Here is an 18183-nt window from a genome sequence, read left to right as displayed (position 1 = left end):
GTCATAAGACATGTGATTTCTCTTCATTTCTTGTACACATTTACCTGCATTGACAGTGAGACTGAATTGTGGGAAAGATATGTTTTTATACTTAAATGAATACACATCGGACAAAATGAGTTCAAGATTTAAAACTGTTGTTCATTGTATAGGGGGTATATTTTTAGGTGGAGTTCACAGAAATGGAAGTGACCTGTATTCAGGTCAGCTGGTAGCTCTGCCAGTCACTCATCCCAACTTCCTGCCTCTTTCTACTCTCCCTTTTTAGCCTCTTTCTGTGTCTTTTCCCACTACATCTACATGGTACTCAAACCTGTAGTGAAGCATTTACCACTACAATATTTACTACAATTTCATGATTTGAAAATCGAATGGCAGATTTTTGATATACTCAGCATATCTAAATATTCTCTGAATCTTATCAGAAATTATAAAAAGAGGTGTCTTTGTCAGTTTGAGTTTCTATAACAAAGTAACATAGACTGAATGGCTTGTATACAATAGATATTTATGTCTCATTGTCCTGGGTGTGAGAAGTTTGAGATCAGGGTGCCAGCACGGTAGAGTTGTGGTGAAAACCCTCTTCTGGGTTGCAGACTGCCAACTTACTGTATCCTCACATGGTGGAAGGGGCAAGGCAGCCCTCTCAGGCCTCTTTCATAAGGTCACTAATCATCTCCCAAAGCCCTACTTCCTAATATCATCACCTTGGGGGTTAGATTTCAGCAGAGGAATTTCGGGGGGACACAAGCATTCGGTCCATAACAGAGGAGATGTATAAAATAATAAGAATAATCTCTTGCAGGAATGGAATTCTGCTGTTGAGAAGCTGAAGAGTGAGGCACTGAGAATTCTGCTGTCAAAGGACTACGTGGAGAAAGAACACCTCCAGCTCTCTCACCAGAAACTCAGTCAGCTTCAAGAAGAATTTGGTCAACTCATGGTGGAAAGGAATACCTGGTTAAAGAAGGCGAATGAATTTTTTAACAGTGCTAACAAGGTCAGTGTGAGGTCAAGTTGATAATTTTCGGTAATCAGGCAGACCAGTAAAAGACCCATTACTTCAACTGACTGGAGCACATCACAGAAGTCAAAACGCCATGTAAAATTTCAAAACTGATAGCAGCAAAGAGAGCTTTTAACATATATTCCTATTATGGCCATTATTTGATTCTCAAAACTGAAAGACTGTTTTCACATGTAAAAGGTGACTTTAAAAACAACAAACAAACCTCGTGAGGGTTTTTTGTCTTTTTGTTTTGTTTGGTTTGGTTTGGTTCATTGGATGGTTTTTGTTGTTGTTTTGAGAAAGGGCCTGGCTCTGTCACCCTGGCTGGAGTGTAGTGGCGTGATCATAGCTTACTGCAGCCTCGACCTCCTGGACTCAAGTGATTGTCCCACCTCAGCCTCCCACGTAGCTGGAATCATAGGCACATGCCACCATGCTTGACTACTTTTTTTTTTTGGTAGAGACAGGGTCTTGCTATGTTGTGCAGGCTGGCCTCAAACTCCTGGGCTCAAGTGATCCTCCTGCGCTGGCCTCCCAAAATATTGAAATTGTAGGCATGAGCCACCATGCCTAGCCTCATGAGGGTTTTATCTTACAGCTGCCACTGGTCTGTTTCGGGGGGACACTTGTGCCCACATTATAGTGTTTCCCATGGAGGAAGAGAATTATCATAAATGTATCAAGGCTGAAAAATACCTTAAAATTTTTACCGAAGGCCTCCTTTTATTCATCCTCTTTAATTTACCAGGTAAAATACATATGAATATTGCAAGCCTTTTTGCACACAAGCCGTAAGGCTAGAAACAGTGCCTTAGCCTGATTGTTCCACCTTGGTCTTGCCTTTTTAAGTCAGCCAGAGTGAAATCTGGCTGTGGACCATCTCCAGGTCTTGAGTTGGAGGAGTGCTCTGCTTCTCCTCTCTGATTCATTGGACATTGATTGCAGCAGGTGGTTCCTGCTAAGTGGCAATGTTCACCTGTTCACATCACTTGAGTACGGCTCAGTGTAAGAGGCTGGTGATCTTATTTGAAAATTTTTTCTACCTTTTCCAATGTAATATACACCTTCAAACGGTGTTTTTAGAATTGTTTCATACCTTAAATTTCACTGATGTTTTCAAAACGGACAATGTGGCAGGAAATGAATGAGGAAACCCTGGAACCTAGGTACATTGTGATCTAAAAATCACAACATCAACACCCTGAATACAATGTCCTGGTGTATATCAAAATAGTGACTTAATTTTGAACTTCTTTACTAATAAGAAACTTTTTGAAAAAATAAATAGTAAAATTTCAAAACAGAGTTGCTAAATTGTGGTAAAATGTTAAAGAAAGATTTATTGTCAGATTATTTGTCATTTGGGATTTCTTTAAGAGAGGAAACAGATATACCATATTACTGGAGCTATTGAACTAATTAGATGTTAGGTGCTAGTTAAGTTTCTCCTCAGTAATTCTGTTTTTGAATAAGAGACTTTTAAATTTAAACTGCATATTCATTCTTCAAAATGAGTGAGTCATCTACAAGTCAGTTAATATTGTTTCTAAGGAAAACCATTATCAAACATATTGCTATAAAGCAATGCTTCCAGTACAAACCCTATAGTTTACAGCCTTGCAAAATGTAGTTTCTCTCTTTCATTCCCATTCTCTTACTTTTGTTTTCTCTGCTCTCATTATTTTGTACTTTGCTGGGATATTTTTCTGGGTTTTAACAGAGAAGAAATATCTCCTGCAAAAGCCTTTTTTTTAAAAAAAAAAAGAAGAAGAAGAAGAGAGTGGTTACTTTCTCAAACTCATACAGTAATTCAGGTCAGATTGGAGTAGAGAATTTATGTTTCATAATCACAAAGACTTTCGATTTCTAGATTCCCCATTTTATCATTTGAAAGCCATGGCATGCTAACTATACAAATTATAATAAGCTCCACTGGGATTTATCCATACTATAGCAGGTTCTATAGACAAGTGGCACTCAGAATAGTGTTAGAATCCTTTCTCCCTTTTCAAAGCATCAAGGAAATAATTTCTGACTCCAAATCTAAGAACTCAGTGTGAAAGATGATGGATATTTCTACCTCAGCAAAAATAGAAGCTGGAGTTTGGAATGTAGATGTTTAATCATGACTGTTGAAATGAATTTTTTACTATGTTATTAAGTAAAATAACTATATTATTTATACTATATTATTAAGTAAAATAAATGATGAAATTATGTCGTGTAAATCTACTCAAAGAAGAAAACTCTTCTTGTGGCTTATAAATGGTATTTTTCTTTTTTATTTATATTGTAAAACCTCCAAATTTTATAAAAATTTGACCACTTTACCCAATTTTTAGCCTGACACTTATAGCCCTAGTTTAAATAAAGAACTGAAGTTTTAAAATTAATATAATTTCAAAATCCCTTAAAATGTTTTTTCTAGAATAAAATTCTGTTTACACTAGTGAAAAGCTATGTTCAGTTTATATAATGAATTATCTCCGAAACACTGAATTTTCCTCTTGAAAATTCACTTCGTTGTGCCTTGAGTGCACTGGGTTTCCTAATTGTGAACATTCCTGTTCTTAGAGGAAGTCATGCTCTCAAGAACTGTGAGGGGTTTGAGATTTTACCCTACATTCAAGCTAACATGTTAACTTATCACAGTTTCATGGATGATTGCAGAAGACACCTGACCTCTGGCTCAGAGGTGATTGATTATAGCAAAGCAGCAGCCAGAGTGTCAGCATGCCACATCAATTCTCCCAGCCCCAAATCCCCCTGAGTGATGCAGATGGACCCAGATGGATATATGCAACTGCAGCAGGTGGGGTTCAGGAGAGGAACCCTAAGCTTGGGGAATCTGTAGTTTTACAGCAAATAGGAAGCATGCCTGCTCTTTGTCTTGAAGGGCAACATCACCTCAATCCTGAAGGTTGCTAGTTGCAGACCCAACACTGAGAAGTGGCCCAGATATAAAGGGATCAGAGTCTTGTATTCTTGACCTACCAGTGAGATGTGTAGGAGCACCAGAGATCCATGAAGAATTTTCTCTCCCGGCACATGCAAATTGGATGTTAGCACTGCAGGAATAAAAGGTGAAGTCAGCACTTTACAAAAAGGTACTTTCCTTGAAAATCAATTTCATTCTTGAAAAGTGGAATTATTTTTCAGCAAACAACTTCTTGTTCCAAATTCGTTGAAGCTATGTCAATATACTTTTTCAATTTCTATGTCAAATACTAATGTATCAAATTTGTTAGTGTAATGGGCAATATATAAATGAGTGAGTGGGATAGCTTGAATATCTGCTTGGTAAAAAGTGAAATATATGATTTTTTAAATATACTTTTTACTTTTTTGAATTTAGTTAAAATAAAAAGAATAAATATCCAATTTTATCTGCAGAATAGACTTAGTAATTTTCTCATATCATATATATTCCTTTTTTCATCCAGGTTTTATCATATTCCTGGTTAAAATCATTGAGGAGTCCCTCTTCCCCCTTTTCCTTTCATTTTCTTTCTTTCTTTTTTTTTCAGGGGGTGGGGACAGGGTCTCACTGTCACCGAGGCTGAAGTGCAGTGGCATGATCACAGCTCACTGTAGCCCTGACCTCCGGGGCTCAGGTAATCCTCTCACCTCAGCCTCCCAGGCAACTGGGACTCCACCATACCAGGCTAATTTTTTGTATTTTTTGTAGAGATGGGATTTTGCCATGTTGCTCAGGCTTGTCTTGAGCTCCTGGGCTCAAGGGATCCACCCTCCTTGGCCTCCCAAAGTGCTGGGATTATAGGTGTGAGCCACCACACCCCACCTCCTTTCATTTTCATTCATTCCCCTCTCTAACAATTCTAGATAGGGATATTATTATTTACTAGAAATATTTTACAATAATTTATTTTATTATTTAAAGGTGAATTCATGAGAATAATTACCCTTCTCTTTAGATATTCACTTATTTAGTATATATTTATTGAGCCACTGCTATGTGTCAGGCATTGTTCTAAATGCTAGAAAATAAATAGCAGAGAACAAAACTTACAAAATTTGTGAAATTCAGTAAAATATAATTATCACTTAATTGCCCACATTGACAACAGTTCCCCCACTGCCTTTGTCCAGTGGCTCCAGGAGTGCAATTGATTACCTTTAATTCTGCTAGGGTTTGATGATTACCCAAGGTTCAGGAATGTTTCTCACCCAGAGGAAGTGTCTGGCAGCCTGTGGCTTGAGATACGGATGTTTGGACCTGGAGTGAGCAGCAGGTGGCGATGTTGAGACAGCATTAGGAACTTGCTGCTTGCTGTAAACCAACCACTGGATTCAAGTGGAGTGAGCCATATAACTCAAGAATCTGATATACTTCCTGTTCTTTTTAGAGTTTCCTAATGTGTTTGGTGAATGAACCTATTTGTCAAATCGCTTAGCAGAATATACAAGTAAGTGTCAGTTGTCGACATTGACTAATAGTTGATTGGAGAAAAGTTCCTCTAATTATCAGATGTTACTAAGACTTATGAGAACATGGCATGAAATATGAATATAGCACCTATTAGAATAACTCATCTCGATCCTCCAAAATATTCATCCTTCGGGATTATAGATTATCTTATTTATTATACTTCTAGTGTGTTCACAGAAAACAAGCTAAGCTATGGTTGATATTTATTGATCACCCCAAACGTATTTATCATTGTTAAGGGAATGTAGTTTGAATCAGAGATAAATATACAATATGTTTCAAAAACAGAATGAGGTGAGCCTGTATTTACAGGACAGCTGCAATTGAACCCAAAACTGTAAAACATGACTGATTGGTCATAATGTATCGTGTCCTATGCCTTCCATTTCCAGGCACATGATTTCATTGAAGAAAGCAAGCAGAGGAAACTGAGGCCAAATCCATTTTATGAACATGGTCTGATTTTTGGGTGGTCAGCCTGAAAGCAAAGATGAAGCAAAAGTTGGGGTGGCCAAAGAAACACACAAAAAGTAGTTCGAAATGTAACAATTGTCATAGCTTCCGTTGTTTCTGCCATAGCTATTGAAACATTAATGTCCTTTAAGAAGATGATGTTGCTTTTTCAAGATATTTACAGTGATCCATAGTAATGCTTATAGCAACATCATTGTTTCAGATGCAAACAAAATAATTAAGCATGGAATTTGTATACTTTTTTCATTTATATATACGTGATATATATGGGATATTAACATTTTCAAAATAAACACATTTTAGGCCCAGCTGATGAAAAAAAAATAATTAAAATGGTCCAGTTGTTGTATAGATTGAAATTTTAAGAAAACCTGCCCAAGTAGAGTACCTAAAAAAATACTATGCAGAAGGAATTTATTGAGGTAATATAAATGAATTCAAGTAATAGGCTAAATGTTATTAGATATCAAGGAAAATATAATTACTTTCAGTTTCATAATTCCTCAGCAGCCTGTCTTAAATTCCTCTTTTTCAGAACAACTCCCCTTTCTCTTAGAAATAACTAAAGCCACTTATGTTCCCTCCCTCTCTTCTTCCATATTTGCATTCAGCTAGTATGTTGTGTTCCTATTCTTGCCATGCATCAAATGGGTACTTGAGCGAAAGCAATGAAAGATATAATCCCTGCTTTCCAGACCTTCTCAGTCAAGTTTAGATGAGAGGCCAGGGAACAGAGGTGCACTGGGTTGTGGGAAAGCTATGATGGAGAAAGCCCAAAGCATTAGAACACACAGAGCAGAGACCCTTAACCTGGCTCAGGGAAAAAGAGTCAAGGAAGGCTCCCCAGAGGAGGTGATCACTGAGATAAGTTTGAAAGGATGGGGCAAGAAGGGCCGAGGAAGGGCTGGATGGTACAAAGTCATGCCATGTTTGGGGAACCTAAGATAATTCAATTCGCCAGGAATGTAGGGTGTACACCTAAAGTGATGAGAGACAAAGGTGGTAGAAGCAGGTGGGGAGATCAGGAAGCATTTTGAATAGCATGCTAAGGAGTTTCTATTTTATGCTGAACATGTCTTTATATATGCAGAGATATTTAAGAATTGAAAAAGTCATGATGATGCAAACCTCACCACAAGAAACAGATGATGTCTTAATTTACCCTCTTCCTGTACTCCCTATGACAGAGTGATGAGTGTAGTGTTTAGAAACCTTTGATTTTAGAGCTCAGAGGTCAGGCTGTTTAAACCACAGCAAGTATTTGATAAATATGGCTACATTATTAGCATACAATTATTAAAATAGATATATCATAGAAAAATTATAGAAAAAGAAACATCTTTAACATCTTAAGTGTCTCATGAGAGCTCACAACTCAGTTCATATCTAATAGTCTGATAATCAAGACATTCAATTTTATTGTCCTCACTCATGAATACCTTTCACATTTAAGCTGTCAATGGATTTCTAACGTAAGAGTGTATTAATTGGTTTCTCTTCTATGTGCAGTATCAGATTGTTGCATCTCTCTGTTGGCAGTAAGCACATTCTGCTTAGTATTATAGATATTTATTTCTGGGTAGATTTCTTTTGCTAAATTAAAATTTCTTGAGGGTAAGAAACATGTCCTTTTCACTTTGTGTTCACCAGAACACCTAGAACAGTGACTTCTAGTTAGTGGGTGTTCAATAATTATTTGAATGACTAAGAGCAGTGAAATATTATAAACTGTAGAGTTTCAAGGCCAACTACATGAAATTGTTCATAGGAGATTATATTGATCCAAGGTACTTGGGACTTGACCATTTTGAAAGAAGATAATTTAATTACTTTAATATACAAGGAACACAAATTTTAAGCTTCATCTCTGCATCATATCTGAGAAGGCAGGTCTTGCTGTGTAAAGGGCTTGTCATCTACACATAGTGCCTCCTCTGAGACATCTCCAGGCAGCACTAATTGCTTGTTTTGTATCATTTCCATAATATTTCTCTGTATGCCTTAGAGAGAGATTGTGTCCTAATCTTCTTTGTGTGTCACATAGGTTCAAAAAACTTTTGTCGGATGAATGAATAAATGACTGGCCATGTGACAAATCAATTTACATTTTGAGCTTGAGTTTTCTCTTTTATAAAATCAGTCTAATATTCCTCATCTACTTCAGAGAGTCTCATTCAATAATAAAAGTTCTTATAGTTGGTGATAAATTGTACACACTCTTTTTGGGATACAGTTGGAGTGTAAAATAAATGGAATTGTAGGGTATTAAGTGAAAATTAGAAATGTTTGCTAGCATTACACTTTGCCAAAATAACAGTAGATTTTGGAGCCAGAATGCCTGAGTATGAATCTGATCTTGGACATTTATTAGCTCTATGACCTTGGGCAGTCACTTAACTTCCCTGTGCATTGGCTTTTTTAACCTGTAAAATAGAAGTACTATTGGTACCTTACAAGGACATTGTGCTGTCTAAGTAAGTTAATACGTGGCTACAGCACAGAACTGCTAAGCACTCACTAATTGCTAGGCAGTATTTTGTCTTTATATCTCTAATGTGATGTAATGCTTTTGTTCATTTTCACATTCCCAGCACGTAGCTGAGTACATAGTCCATAAATTTCAATGTTTTTTGAATAAGTGTAAAAATAAGTGCTTTACACATTATAAATGGACATTTTCTACATTAATATTCCCAAGATCATCTTAAAGTCATTTAGGTCAACTTAGAGAAAAGAAAACAGAAATTATAAATAGTGACTAGCTGCCTAAAGTGCTATTGAATGGGTCTAGTTGTATTCCTCAGAACAAGAGATGGTCAATGCATAAACTTCCTCCATTCCTTGTTGATAAAATGCTTCAGATACATACCACTTTCAATCCCAAACCTCTTTTATTCCAGTGTTTTCTCAGCTTTCCAGATTATGAGACAAAAGCTTCCATAGGTGCTAATGGCATTTAATACCTCTCATTAATACCATGAATTCACCCTGGAACAAGGAGGGAGCTCTGAGGTCCAGCAGCAACTGCCTTTGACAGGCAAGGAATAAGCTGGAGCTGCAGCAGAGGACAGCAAATATTGGGAGCTTAAAAATCACATCACCCCTATATTCTGGCCTTCAGGGCATTTGAAAGCTTGGGCAGATGTGGGGAGGACCTGAATTAGGAATCAGTTCCCCAGAGTGGGAACCACCAGAAGTTCTCTCAGGTGATGTGTAGGAAAGGAAACTGAAGCTTTTGGTCTTTGTAACAGAACCTAAGGGAAATCTGAATCTCTACAGGTAATGGAATCTGGTGCTCTAATTAGAAGCACTAATTAGACTCAACTCAGCACTTAGCTGAGTTTTGTGTTTTTGATAGTTATAAGCATTCCAACAAAACTCTCTCCAGCCACTAGACTCGTGGAAGGAAATTTTCTAGGTTCTGCTGTTTTCTTTCTGTTGTTGTTCGTGTTTAATGTTGACTCTCTTCAAGTTGATTAGTCAAGAAGCAAACAACATTACTTATTAAACACCTTTGTGAAACAGCATGATAGAATTCTGCTAGATGACTCACGGCTCTTGTTTGAATTCGTCTTGCAGATATTTTTAAAAGAATGAAATGTGCCATGTCCTGATACTATCTCTATTTGATTTGGTGCAGGCTGCCTTGGGTCCTGTACTAAACAAGTGAAAAAGGAAAGGTCTTTATTGGTTTTGTAAAGAACAAACACCAAGCAACTCCTTAGTCTTTACCAAAACAAGACCGAAAAGAGCTGATTCATCTTCTTATCTGCCTAAAAACTGAATAGTACATATAAAATGTTCAAGAAGAGCTAGGAACCAGAGGGATAAAATATTATCCTTGTCCTATATCCTTTTTTCCCAATCCAGTCATAGTAGCTTTATTTGACTTGCACGTATAAGGTTTGAAGAGAGATATATGAAGGAAAAAAGACCAAAGGGAAAACACTGCTTCCAAAGGAGTTTACATGGGGGTCACAGTGTTCTTATTGCCAGAAATAATATGTTCTGTACTGTGTGTGCAACAAAGGGAGTCTTTCCAGGCTGGGTCCGATATATCAGGTTCTTTATGGGTATGGTAAATAGAAAAGCACTCAGTTCTATTTTGAGGGTAGATTAAGTGAGAGCAATGATACTTAGATCATTTCTGGAACTGGCACATGGAACTGGCAAATTCTGCATGGGAATAAGAGAGATGAGCTTTGTGTATAATTCAGACAATCACAGACAGTACAGTCTTCTTGAAAGTAGCTTCCTGTTAAAGTCCAGAAATTTAACTCTTATTTCTATGTCTGCAGATTATTCCTATTACGGGTTGGTTAGGATTGAGGTCAGTATCCAGCCCATCGTACCAATAGGTATTCTACAAATGTATTTGTTGAGCTAATGAAGGAGTAAAATCACTTACCTCCTTTCTACTGCTGTAGTTCTATTAAGTGTGATACACAGAACAATTTATAGTAAATATTTTCCTTACACATTTGAGAAAAAGCTCTGGAAGATAATTTGACTATTTTGATTCTCATTATGGGCTATCTTTGTCCTTGATATATCATTCCCTCCTTCTAGTGAATGCTTAGTCTTTCAATTTATTTCCATTTTATTAGGAAGTAATACTTTTATTATAACATTCAGAAGAGGGTGGAGTGGTATCTCACATGCATTCAATGATGTTGTGGTTTTGGCATCTAATTCCAATAAAGATGAGACCAATGCCTGAGGATTTGAGAGTGGCAGATGTTCAGTGGAGCCACAGAGGAAAGGCCCATGTGGGATGAATGACAGGCACCAGGTGGCCATGCTCTTCTCAGTCACTTTTTAAAGATGGGCTCAATCAATCAGGATTTAGAATAACAGCCAGTATTTTCCAAGTACCTACTATATGTTTGCCATGAAACCCACTTACTTTTATATATTTTTCTTCCTAATTCTCAAAACAACAAACATGACATGTATTAAGGTTATAGTAGCTTTATATTAGAAAATGGGGTTAAATGTGTAGGCAAGAAAAAGCACTTTGGAATTTTCTATTCTTTCTCCATTCACACTGAAAACTTGAGAATTATCTTAAGGAAGAAAGGCAAGAAGGCTGTGACATTTACATAGAGACTTTCATTTTATTTCTTCCTTTAGTGTAGCTCAGGGGTTCTCAATTCTAAATGTGAATATGTGTTACTACATGCACTAATTCACATATATTAAACTTTAAGGGTGATTTAAGGGAGTTGAAGATGATTTTGACTATGCCAGATTTTTGCTTTAGGCATTTGACTTTAAAACTAACCCTCGGCTGGGCGCGGTGGCTCACACCTGTAATCCCAGCACTTTGGGAGGCCGACGCAGGCAGATCACAAGGTCAGGAGTTCGAGACCAGCCTGGCCAACATGATGAAACCCATCTCTACTAAAAATACAAAAATTAGCTGGGTGTGGTGGTGTGTGCCTATAGTCCCAGCTACTCGGGAGGCTGAGGCACGAGAATCACTTGAACCCAGGAGGCGGAGGTTGCAGTGAGCTGAGATGGCGCCACTGCAGTCCAGCCTGGCGGCAGAGCGAGACTCTGTCTCAGAAAACAAAACAAAACAAAAAACCTAACCCTCAGTTAACAACAAACTCCGCTTTATTCAAAATAAGTAATACAAATTTTAAAATGTATTTAAAATGTTCAGAAACAGTGGTTATTGGCAAATGATGTTTCGATGGGTTATGGAAGGATAGGGAAAGTCATTAAATCATCTTCTTTCTTTTTTGTTTCATTGTTTATTTTTTTTTTTATTTTTTGAGACGGAGTTTCACTCTTGTTGCCCAGGCTGGAGTGCAATGTTGTGATCTCAGCTCACTGCAACCTCCACCTCCCGGGTTCTAGTGATTCTCTTGCCTCAGTCTCCCAAGTTGCTGGGATTACAAGCACGTGCTACCACACCTGGCTAATTTTTTTTTTTAATTTTTAGTAGAGACGAGGCTTCACCATGTTGGCCAGGCTGGTCTTGAACTCCTGACCTCAAGTGATCCACCCACCTTGGCCTCCCAAAGTGCTGGGATTACAGGTGTGAGCCACCGTGCCTGGCTAATCATCTTTTCTAACATCAACATTTTGTTGCACTTGGCTCCATTGCCAACTGCAGGAAAGCAAAAGAATCAGATAAAGAAGAGTTCTTCAAGTTCAAAGTTTCTTTAATTAAGTTCTCTTTCTTTTACAGTCCTATAGTATAAGAGAAATCTCTCAACCTTTCTCTGTATCTTTTCTAACCTATAAGAAGGAAAGGCAGAGACATATTTACAAAAAGTAAGTTTTAAAATCCCTCCTTTTCCGCCCAAGATTACAACTTTCTCTGACATAGCCCTTCCTTCTTAAGTCTTCCAAGGTAATCTTTTGCCACATGGCACCACAGCCCAGGATTTAAGAGCAGTGGTCTCAGAGTCAGGAAATTGGGTATAAATCCCAAATCTGCTCCTTGGTAGAAGTGTCACTTTCTGCAATTTATTTAACCTCTCTGAGACTCAGTTTTCCCAGTCATATAATGGGGATAATTTCTTACTTCCTCTTAGGACTGTTAAGGAGAATGTGCCTGGAACTAAGCAGGCATTCAATATTCATTGACTGAATAAGAATTGTGCAACACACAGTATTGAAGCAAGCATGTAGTCCGTTCTTATTAAACTATAGTTATTATTATAACTTTCTCTTCACTGCTAAATAAGTGAGAATGATTTTGTTTTAAATATTCTAAATAAACAGAATTGCAGACATGGGAGACATGAGGACATTGGTGGGAAAATAGAATATCGGTGTATAAGTAGTAAGACGCTGTTTGAGTGATTTCATTCATAACTTTGAATTTTGTCCAGTTCCAATTCTGCCACTAGATCTCACCCCCTGAGATGGCAGCAGGCACAGGGGCATGAGCGCATTTGTGTACCTCCATGACCATAGCCTCTACATTTGGCTTCGCCTGTGTTGCCCCAGCACCAGCTCAACCTTGCTCGCCTGGTCTCCTTCAGGTCTTAGTGGTACTGGACTCATGAGCCCACCTGTTCTCATTTCTTTTGCTCTGGGATCCTTACCTAGAGTCTTCTGTGGGGTCTTCCTGCTCTACTGGTCAGCTCCTGGCAAGCTCACTGGCTTCCAACTCAGCAACCCAGGGAGGCTACACTTCAAGGCCCTGCCTGACTACACAGCACTGCCCAGCTGACTGTGTTAGGACTATTTTCCAGATTGGTATGGAACATTCCATAAGGTGGCTTCTTTCAGTAGTGCTAAAGGGCAATGTGGCAAGACCTCCCATGCCATTCAGATTTTCTTCAATGTACCATTTGTTTTCTAGGTCAAAATTATTCCTAGAGACATTAGGTGAGATATCAGGAGACCTACAAAGATGACTGCGCTCTGCTTTCTCCCTTTCTCCTCATATACCCACAGTATTCTTTCATTGCCTTTGTATCATACACTCCTCCATCTTAATACCAGCTAAGCCTTAATGGCCCAGTGGCTAACTCCTCTCTATTTTATGTTAATTCTATAAGCTTAATCCTGCATGCTGGGTTGTTGATCTGCTAATAAAGGAAGAAAATAAAGGAATTTTAAAATCTTCTCTCAAGACAATATCTTGGTTTGCAAGGCTATGTTTTTTATGCATAATCCTATTTCTGCATGTCAGAAGCTAAATATTACCTTGGTCTTACTCTTTGCATGGCTTCAGAACAAAATTCTAATCTCTTCTGAAGACAGATGGATGCCTTGGATGGAGTAGGCTGAAGGTCTTATATCTGCAAAAGCAAGAGAAAAAAAGGACATTCATAATTTCTTGAATATTTCTCTACAGTGCTTCAAGAGCAAAGTGGAATTTACTGGGAAATTTCCTCTAAAGAATATTACAGAAACATTCTTGCCATAAAAGCCTGTATAATATTTTTAAATAACTCATCTATTATTTGTTTACAGTGTAAAATGCACAAAATAAACCAGACTGACTCTCCAAATTCTATGCGGTTATAACTCTTTGTGTTGTATAGATACATTCTCAATGTAAACTATTTTGGTGATTTTATGGTATTGACATTTAGTTATGCTCATCTAAGCTATGATCAGTTTCCTAAATGGAACCCTAAAAAACTATACAGCTGTTTTCCAACAATCTTCCAAGATTAAGATGGTTGTTTTTTGTTATAATGAAACTAACAAATTGTTTGGCCTGATTTAATTGCCAGTGTTTTGTGTACACGTTGATGTAGATTTTAAACTAGAGAAGCAGAAAATAAAAGTATGTTTTCTTTGGCAGGCATTTGATGTACTTGGAAGAGTTGAAGCTTACCTTAAGCTCCTTAAATCAGAGGGTTTAAGTCTGGCTGTTTTGGCAGTGAGGCATGAGGAATTACACAGAAAAATTAAAGACTGCACAACTGATGCTTTGCAAAAGGGACAAACCTTAATCAGCCAAGTAGACTCCTGCAGGTGAGTAAAGTTGATTTCTTTCTCAGTGTAACAAGCTTTTTCACAGTTTCCACAACGTGCTAAAAATAAGATGCATGATTGTCTTTTTCTGGTTCTGATGTTTTGCTGCATTATGATATGGCTTAAAAGGATCTATTGAAGTTTGATCAACAGCTATTCTGAACACATCCATTGCTCATCCAGAAGTGAGGCCATATTCTGAGCCTGGAGACTTACATATGCTAAAGCTTTCTGTTTACTCGTTTCTGAGGAGGGGAAAGGGAATGGACAAAGTAAGAAGTAGAGCTTTAGTTCCCAAGGCTTTTCAAACCCTAGCATCTTTATGGAATAGCTCCTTCCCTTTGGTTCATGAGTCTTGAGTCTATCCTGTCCTGTCTTTTTCTTACTGGAAGAAAATAAAATACCAGAATTTCCTTCCAGTTATGACCTTGGTGGCTCACCATGCAAAACCCTAAGTAAACAGTGACAATTATTAATCCAACAGCATGGGCACCAGACCCCATGCTTTTGAACAGTGCTCTAGGTGGGCCTGTTTTATGAGCACATTTGGTGAATGCATCAATGTTGAGCTTAGTGGGCATGAAGAGAGAGAAAGACCTTGAGAAACAGAGAGAGAATGCAGTAGGAAAGTATAGGAAAGAACAGAAAGACAAAGGGGAAATGACAGAGCAGATAGTGGAATGCATATCGACCCGGAAGAAATGAAAGCAGGGCTTACATTTTTCACAGAGAGAGAACAAAAAAATTATAAATGGGTTAAACCCAGTTTTTCACCTTCCATGTCTACAATCTCCTTGAAACCTCAAAGACATTCAATTTGAAGAACCATGAAATAGGTGAAATGTGATAAAATCATTTTATTTCTGTTTAAACCCTTGTTCTGTTCTATTTTAGACGAGTTTAAAGGTGTTGATTTGGTAACTTTGGGTTTGGGGAACATTCTTTCCAGAAGACAGTCTGAATCTGGACAGGGGTATTTAACCCAGGGTTTGTGATGTTTGCTACAAACAACTTGTGCTACATGCACAACTAAGATTAGAAATAATCCAAGGTCTTCCAATAAAAGCCAAAAAGTTGAGGCTATGAAGACAAGGGATTCTCCCCTTTGAAAAATGAATAACTACGTTTTTTACTAAGTTTCTTTACTTTAGCTCCAAGCTGTGCATTAGGTAATAGGGGTGTCCACTAGGCTTCAGCAGTTTCAAGGTGTTTCCTCCCATCCAGGAACAAAATATGGATACAGGAACTCCTCCTCCTCCTCCTCTTTTCCAGCTTTTCCAGAATGTATAAATGTCTTGAACAATACAGAAAAGATCCTATGGGGTAGAAGAGACACTTATTGTGCCTGGACTCGGGGTACATGTCGGACATTGATTTGAGTCATATGATGACTGAATTAAGCGGTGAGGTTTCCAGTTATAATTTCAAAATGGTCCAGTCACAGTTTAACAAATGGGTCTCAAAGCACAGACAGATGTTATTTCTCTGGTCAGGCTACTCTTTGCTTGCGGCATGTTCCCTGGCTGTGGAAAGGTTCCTTTCTTTTTTTTTTTAATTTTTTTTTAAATTATTACTATACTTTAAGTTTTAGGGTACATGTGCACAATGTGCAGGTTAGTTACATATGTATGCATGTGGCATTCTGGTGTGCTGCACCCATTAACTCGTCATTTAGCATTACATATATCTCCTAAAGCTATCCCTCCCCCCTCCCCCCACCCCACAACAGTCCCCAGAGTGTGATGTTCCCCTTCCTGTGTCCATGTGTTCTCATTGTTCAGTTCCCAACTATGAGTGAGAATATGCGGTGTTTGGTTTTTTGTTCTTGCGATAGTTTACTGAGAATGATGATTTCCAATTTCATCCATGTCCCTACAAAGGACATGAACTCATAATTTTTATGACTGCATAGTATTCCATGGTGTATATGTGCCACATTTTCTTAATCCAGTCTATCATTGTTGGACATTTCAGTTGGTTCCAAGTCTTTGCTATTGTGAATAGTGCCACAGTAAACATACGTGTGCATGTGTCTTTATAGCAGCATGATTTATAGTCCTTTGGGTATATACCCAGTAATGGGATGGCTGGGTCAAATGGTATTTCTAGTTCTAGATCCCTGAGGAATCGCCACACTGACTTCCACAATGGTTGAACTAGTTTACAGTCCCACGAACAGTGTAAAAGTGTTCCTATTTCTCCACATCCTCTCCAGCACCTGTTGTTTCCTGACTTTTTAATGATTGCCATTCTGACTGGTGTGAGATGGTATCTCATTGTGGTTTTGGCTTGCATTTCTCTGATGGCCAGTGATGGTGAGCACTTTTTCATGTGTTTTTTGGCTGCATAAATGTCTTCTTTTGAGAAGTGTCTGTTCATGTCCTTCGCCCACTTTTTGATGGGGTTGTTTGTTTTTTTCTTGTAAATTTGTTTGAGTTCACTGTAGATTCTGGATATTAGCCCTTTGTCAGATGAGTAGGTTGCGAAAATTTTCTCCCATTTTGTAGGTTGCCTGTTCACTCTGATGGTAGTTTCTTTTGCTGTGCAGAAGCTCTTTAGTTTAATTAGATCCCATTTGTCAATTTTGACTTTTGTTGCCATTGCTTTTGGTGGTTTAGACATGAAGTCCTTGCCCATGCCTATGTCCTGAATGGTAATGCCTAGGTTTTCTTCTAGGGTTTTTATGGTTTTAGGTGTAACGTTTAAGTCTTTAGTCCATCTTGAATTAATTTTTGCATAAGGTGTAAGGAGGGGATCCAGTTTCAGCTTTCTACATATGGCTAGCCAGTTTTCCCAGCACCATTTATTAAATAGGGAATCCTTTCCCCATTGCTTGTTTTTGCCAGGTTTGTCAAAGATCAGATAGTTGTAGATATGCGGTGTTATTTCTGAGGGCTCTGTTCTGTTCCATTGATCTATATCTCTGTTTTGGTACCAGTAAAATGCTGTTTTGGTTACTGTAGACTTGTAGTATAGTTTGAAGTTAGGTAGCGTGATGCCTCCAGCTTTGTTCTTTTGGCTTAGGATTGACTTGGCGATGCAGGCTCTTTTTTGTTGCCATATGAACTTTAAAGTAGTTTTTTCCAATTCTGTGAAGAAAGTCATTGGTAGCTTGATGGGGATAGCATTGAATCTATAAATTACCTTGGGCACTATGGCCATTTTCATGATATTGATTCTTCCTACCCATGAGCATGGAATGTTCTTCCATTTGTTTGTATACTCTTTTATTTCATTGAGCAGTGGTTTGTAGTTCTCCTTGAAGAGGTCCTTCACATCCCTCGTAAGTTGGATTCCTAGGTATTTTATTCTCTTTGAAGCAATTGTGAATGGGAGTTCACTCATGATTTGGCTCTCTGTTTGTCTGTTGTTGGTGTATAAGAATGCTTGTGATTTTTGTATATTCATTTTGTATCCTGAGACTGCTGAAGTTGCTTATCAGCTTAAGGAGATTTTGGGCTGAGACAATGGGGTTTTCTAGATATACAATCATGTCGTCTGCAAACAGGGACAATTTGACCTCCTCTTTTCCTAATTGAATACCCTTTATTTCCTTCTCCTGCCTAATTGCCCTGGCCAGAACTTCCAACACTATGTTGAATAGGAGTGGTGAGAGAGGGCATCCCTGTCTTGTGCCAGTTTTCAAAGGGAATGCTTCCAGTTTTTGCCCATTCAGTATGATATTGGCTGTGGGTTTGTCATAGATAGCTCTTATTATTTTGAGATACGTCCCATCAAGACCTAATTTATTGAGAATTTTTAGCATGAAGGTTTGTTGAATTTTGTCAAAGGCCTTTTC

General features: G+C 38.0%; 1 protein-coding gene and 1 long non-coding RNA gene across 22 annotated transcripts in view; one reads left to right on the top strand and one right to left on the bottom strand.

Annotated features, from left to right (window-relative positions):
* CCDC141 (coiled-coil domain containing 141) overlaps positions 1-18183 on the top strand; it is a 235160-nt gene that overhangs the window by 130425 nt on the left and 86552 nt on the right. For all 20 annotated transcript variants that reach the window (XM_047443998.1, XM_047443994.1, XM_047443993.1 and 17 more), the window contains exons 7-8: positions 806-1000; positions 14212-14384. In XM_047443998.1, coding sequence (XP_047299954.1) covers positions 806-1000; positions 14212-14384 — 368 coding nt within the window. The remainder of the gene's footprint in view (positions 1-805; positions 1001-14211; positions 14385-18183) is intronic.
* LOC105373766 (uncharacterized) overlaps positions 1-18183 on the bottom strand; it is a 39495-nt gene that overhangs the window by 2646 nt on the left and 18666 nt on the right. The window contains exons 2-3 of one of the 2 annotated variants that reach the window (XR_001739140.2): positions 13605-13699; positions 4004-4077 (exon numbers count right to left, since the gene is read on the bottom strand). This is a non-coding gene — a long non-coding RNA (uncharacterized LOC105373766). Of the gene's footprint in view, positions 1-4003; positions 4078-13604; positions 13776-18183 lie in introns of those variants that run through there. The other variant, XR_001739139.2, reaches the window with a different exon arrangement.

This window comes from Homo sapiens, chromosome 2 (assembly GCF_000001405.40).
Source record: "Homo sapiens chromosome 2, GRCh38.p14 Primary Assembly".
Taxonomy (NCBI): domain Eukaryota; kingdom Metazoa; phylum Chordata; class Mammalia; order Primates; family Hominidae; genus Homo; species Homo sapiens.
Note: the sequence above shows the minus strand (reverse complement) of the source record. Positions and strands in the feature narration are given on the sequence as shown.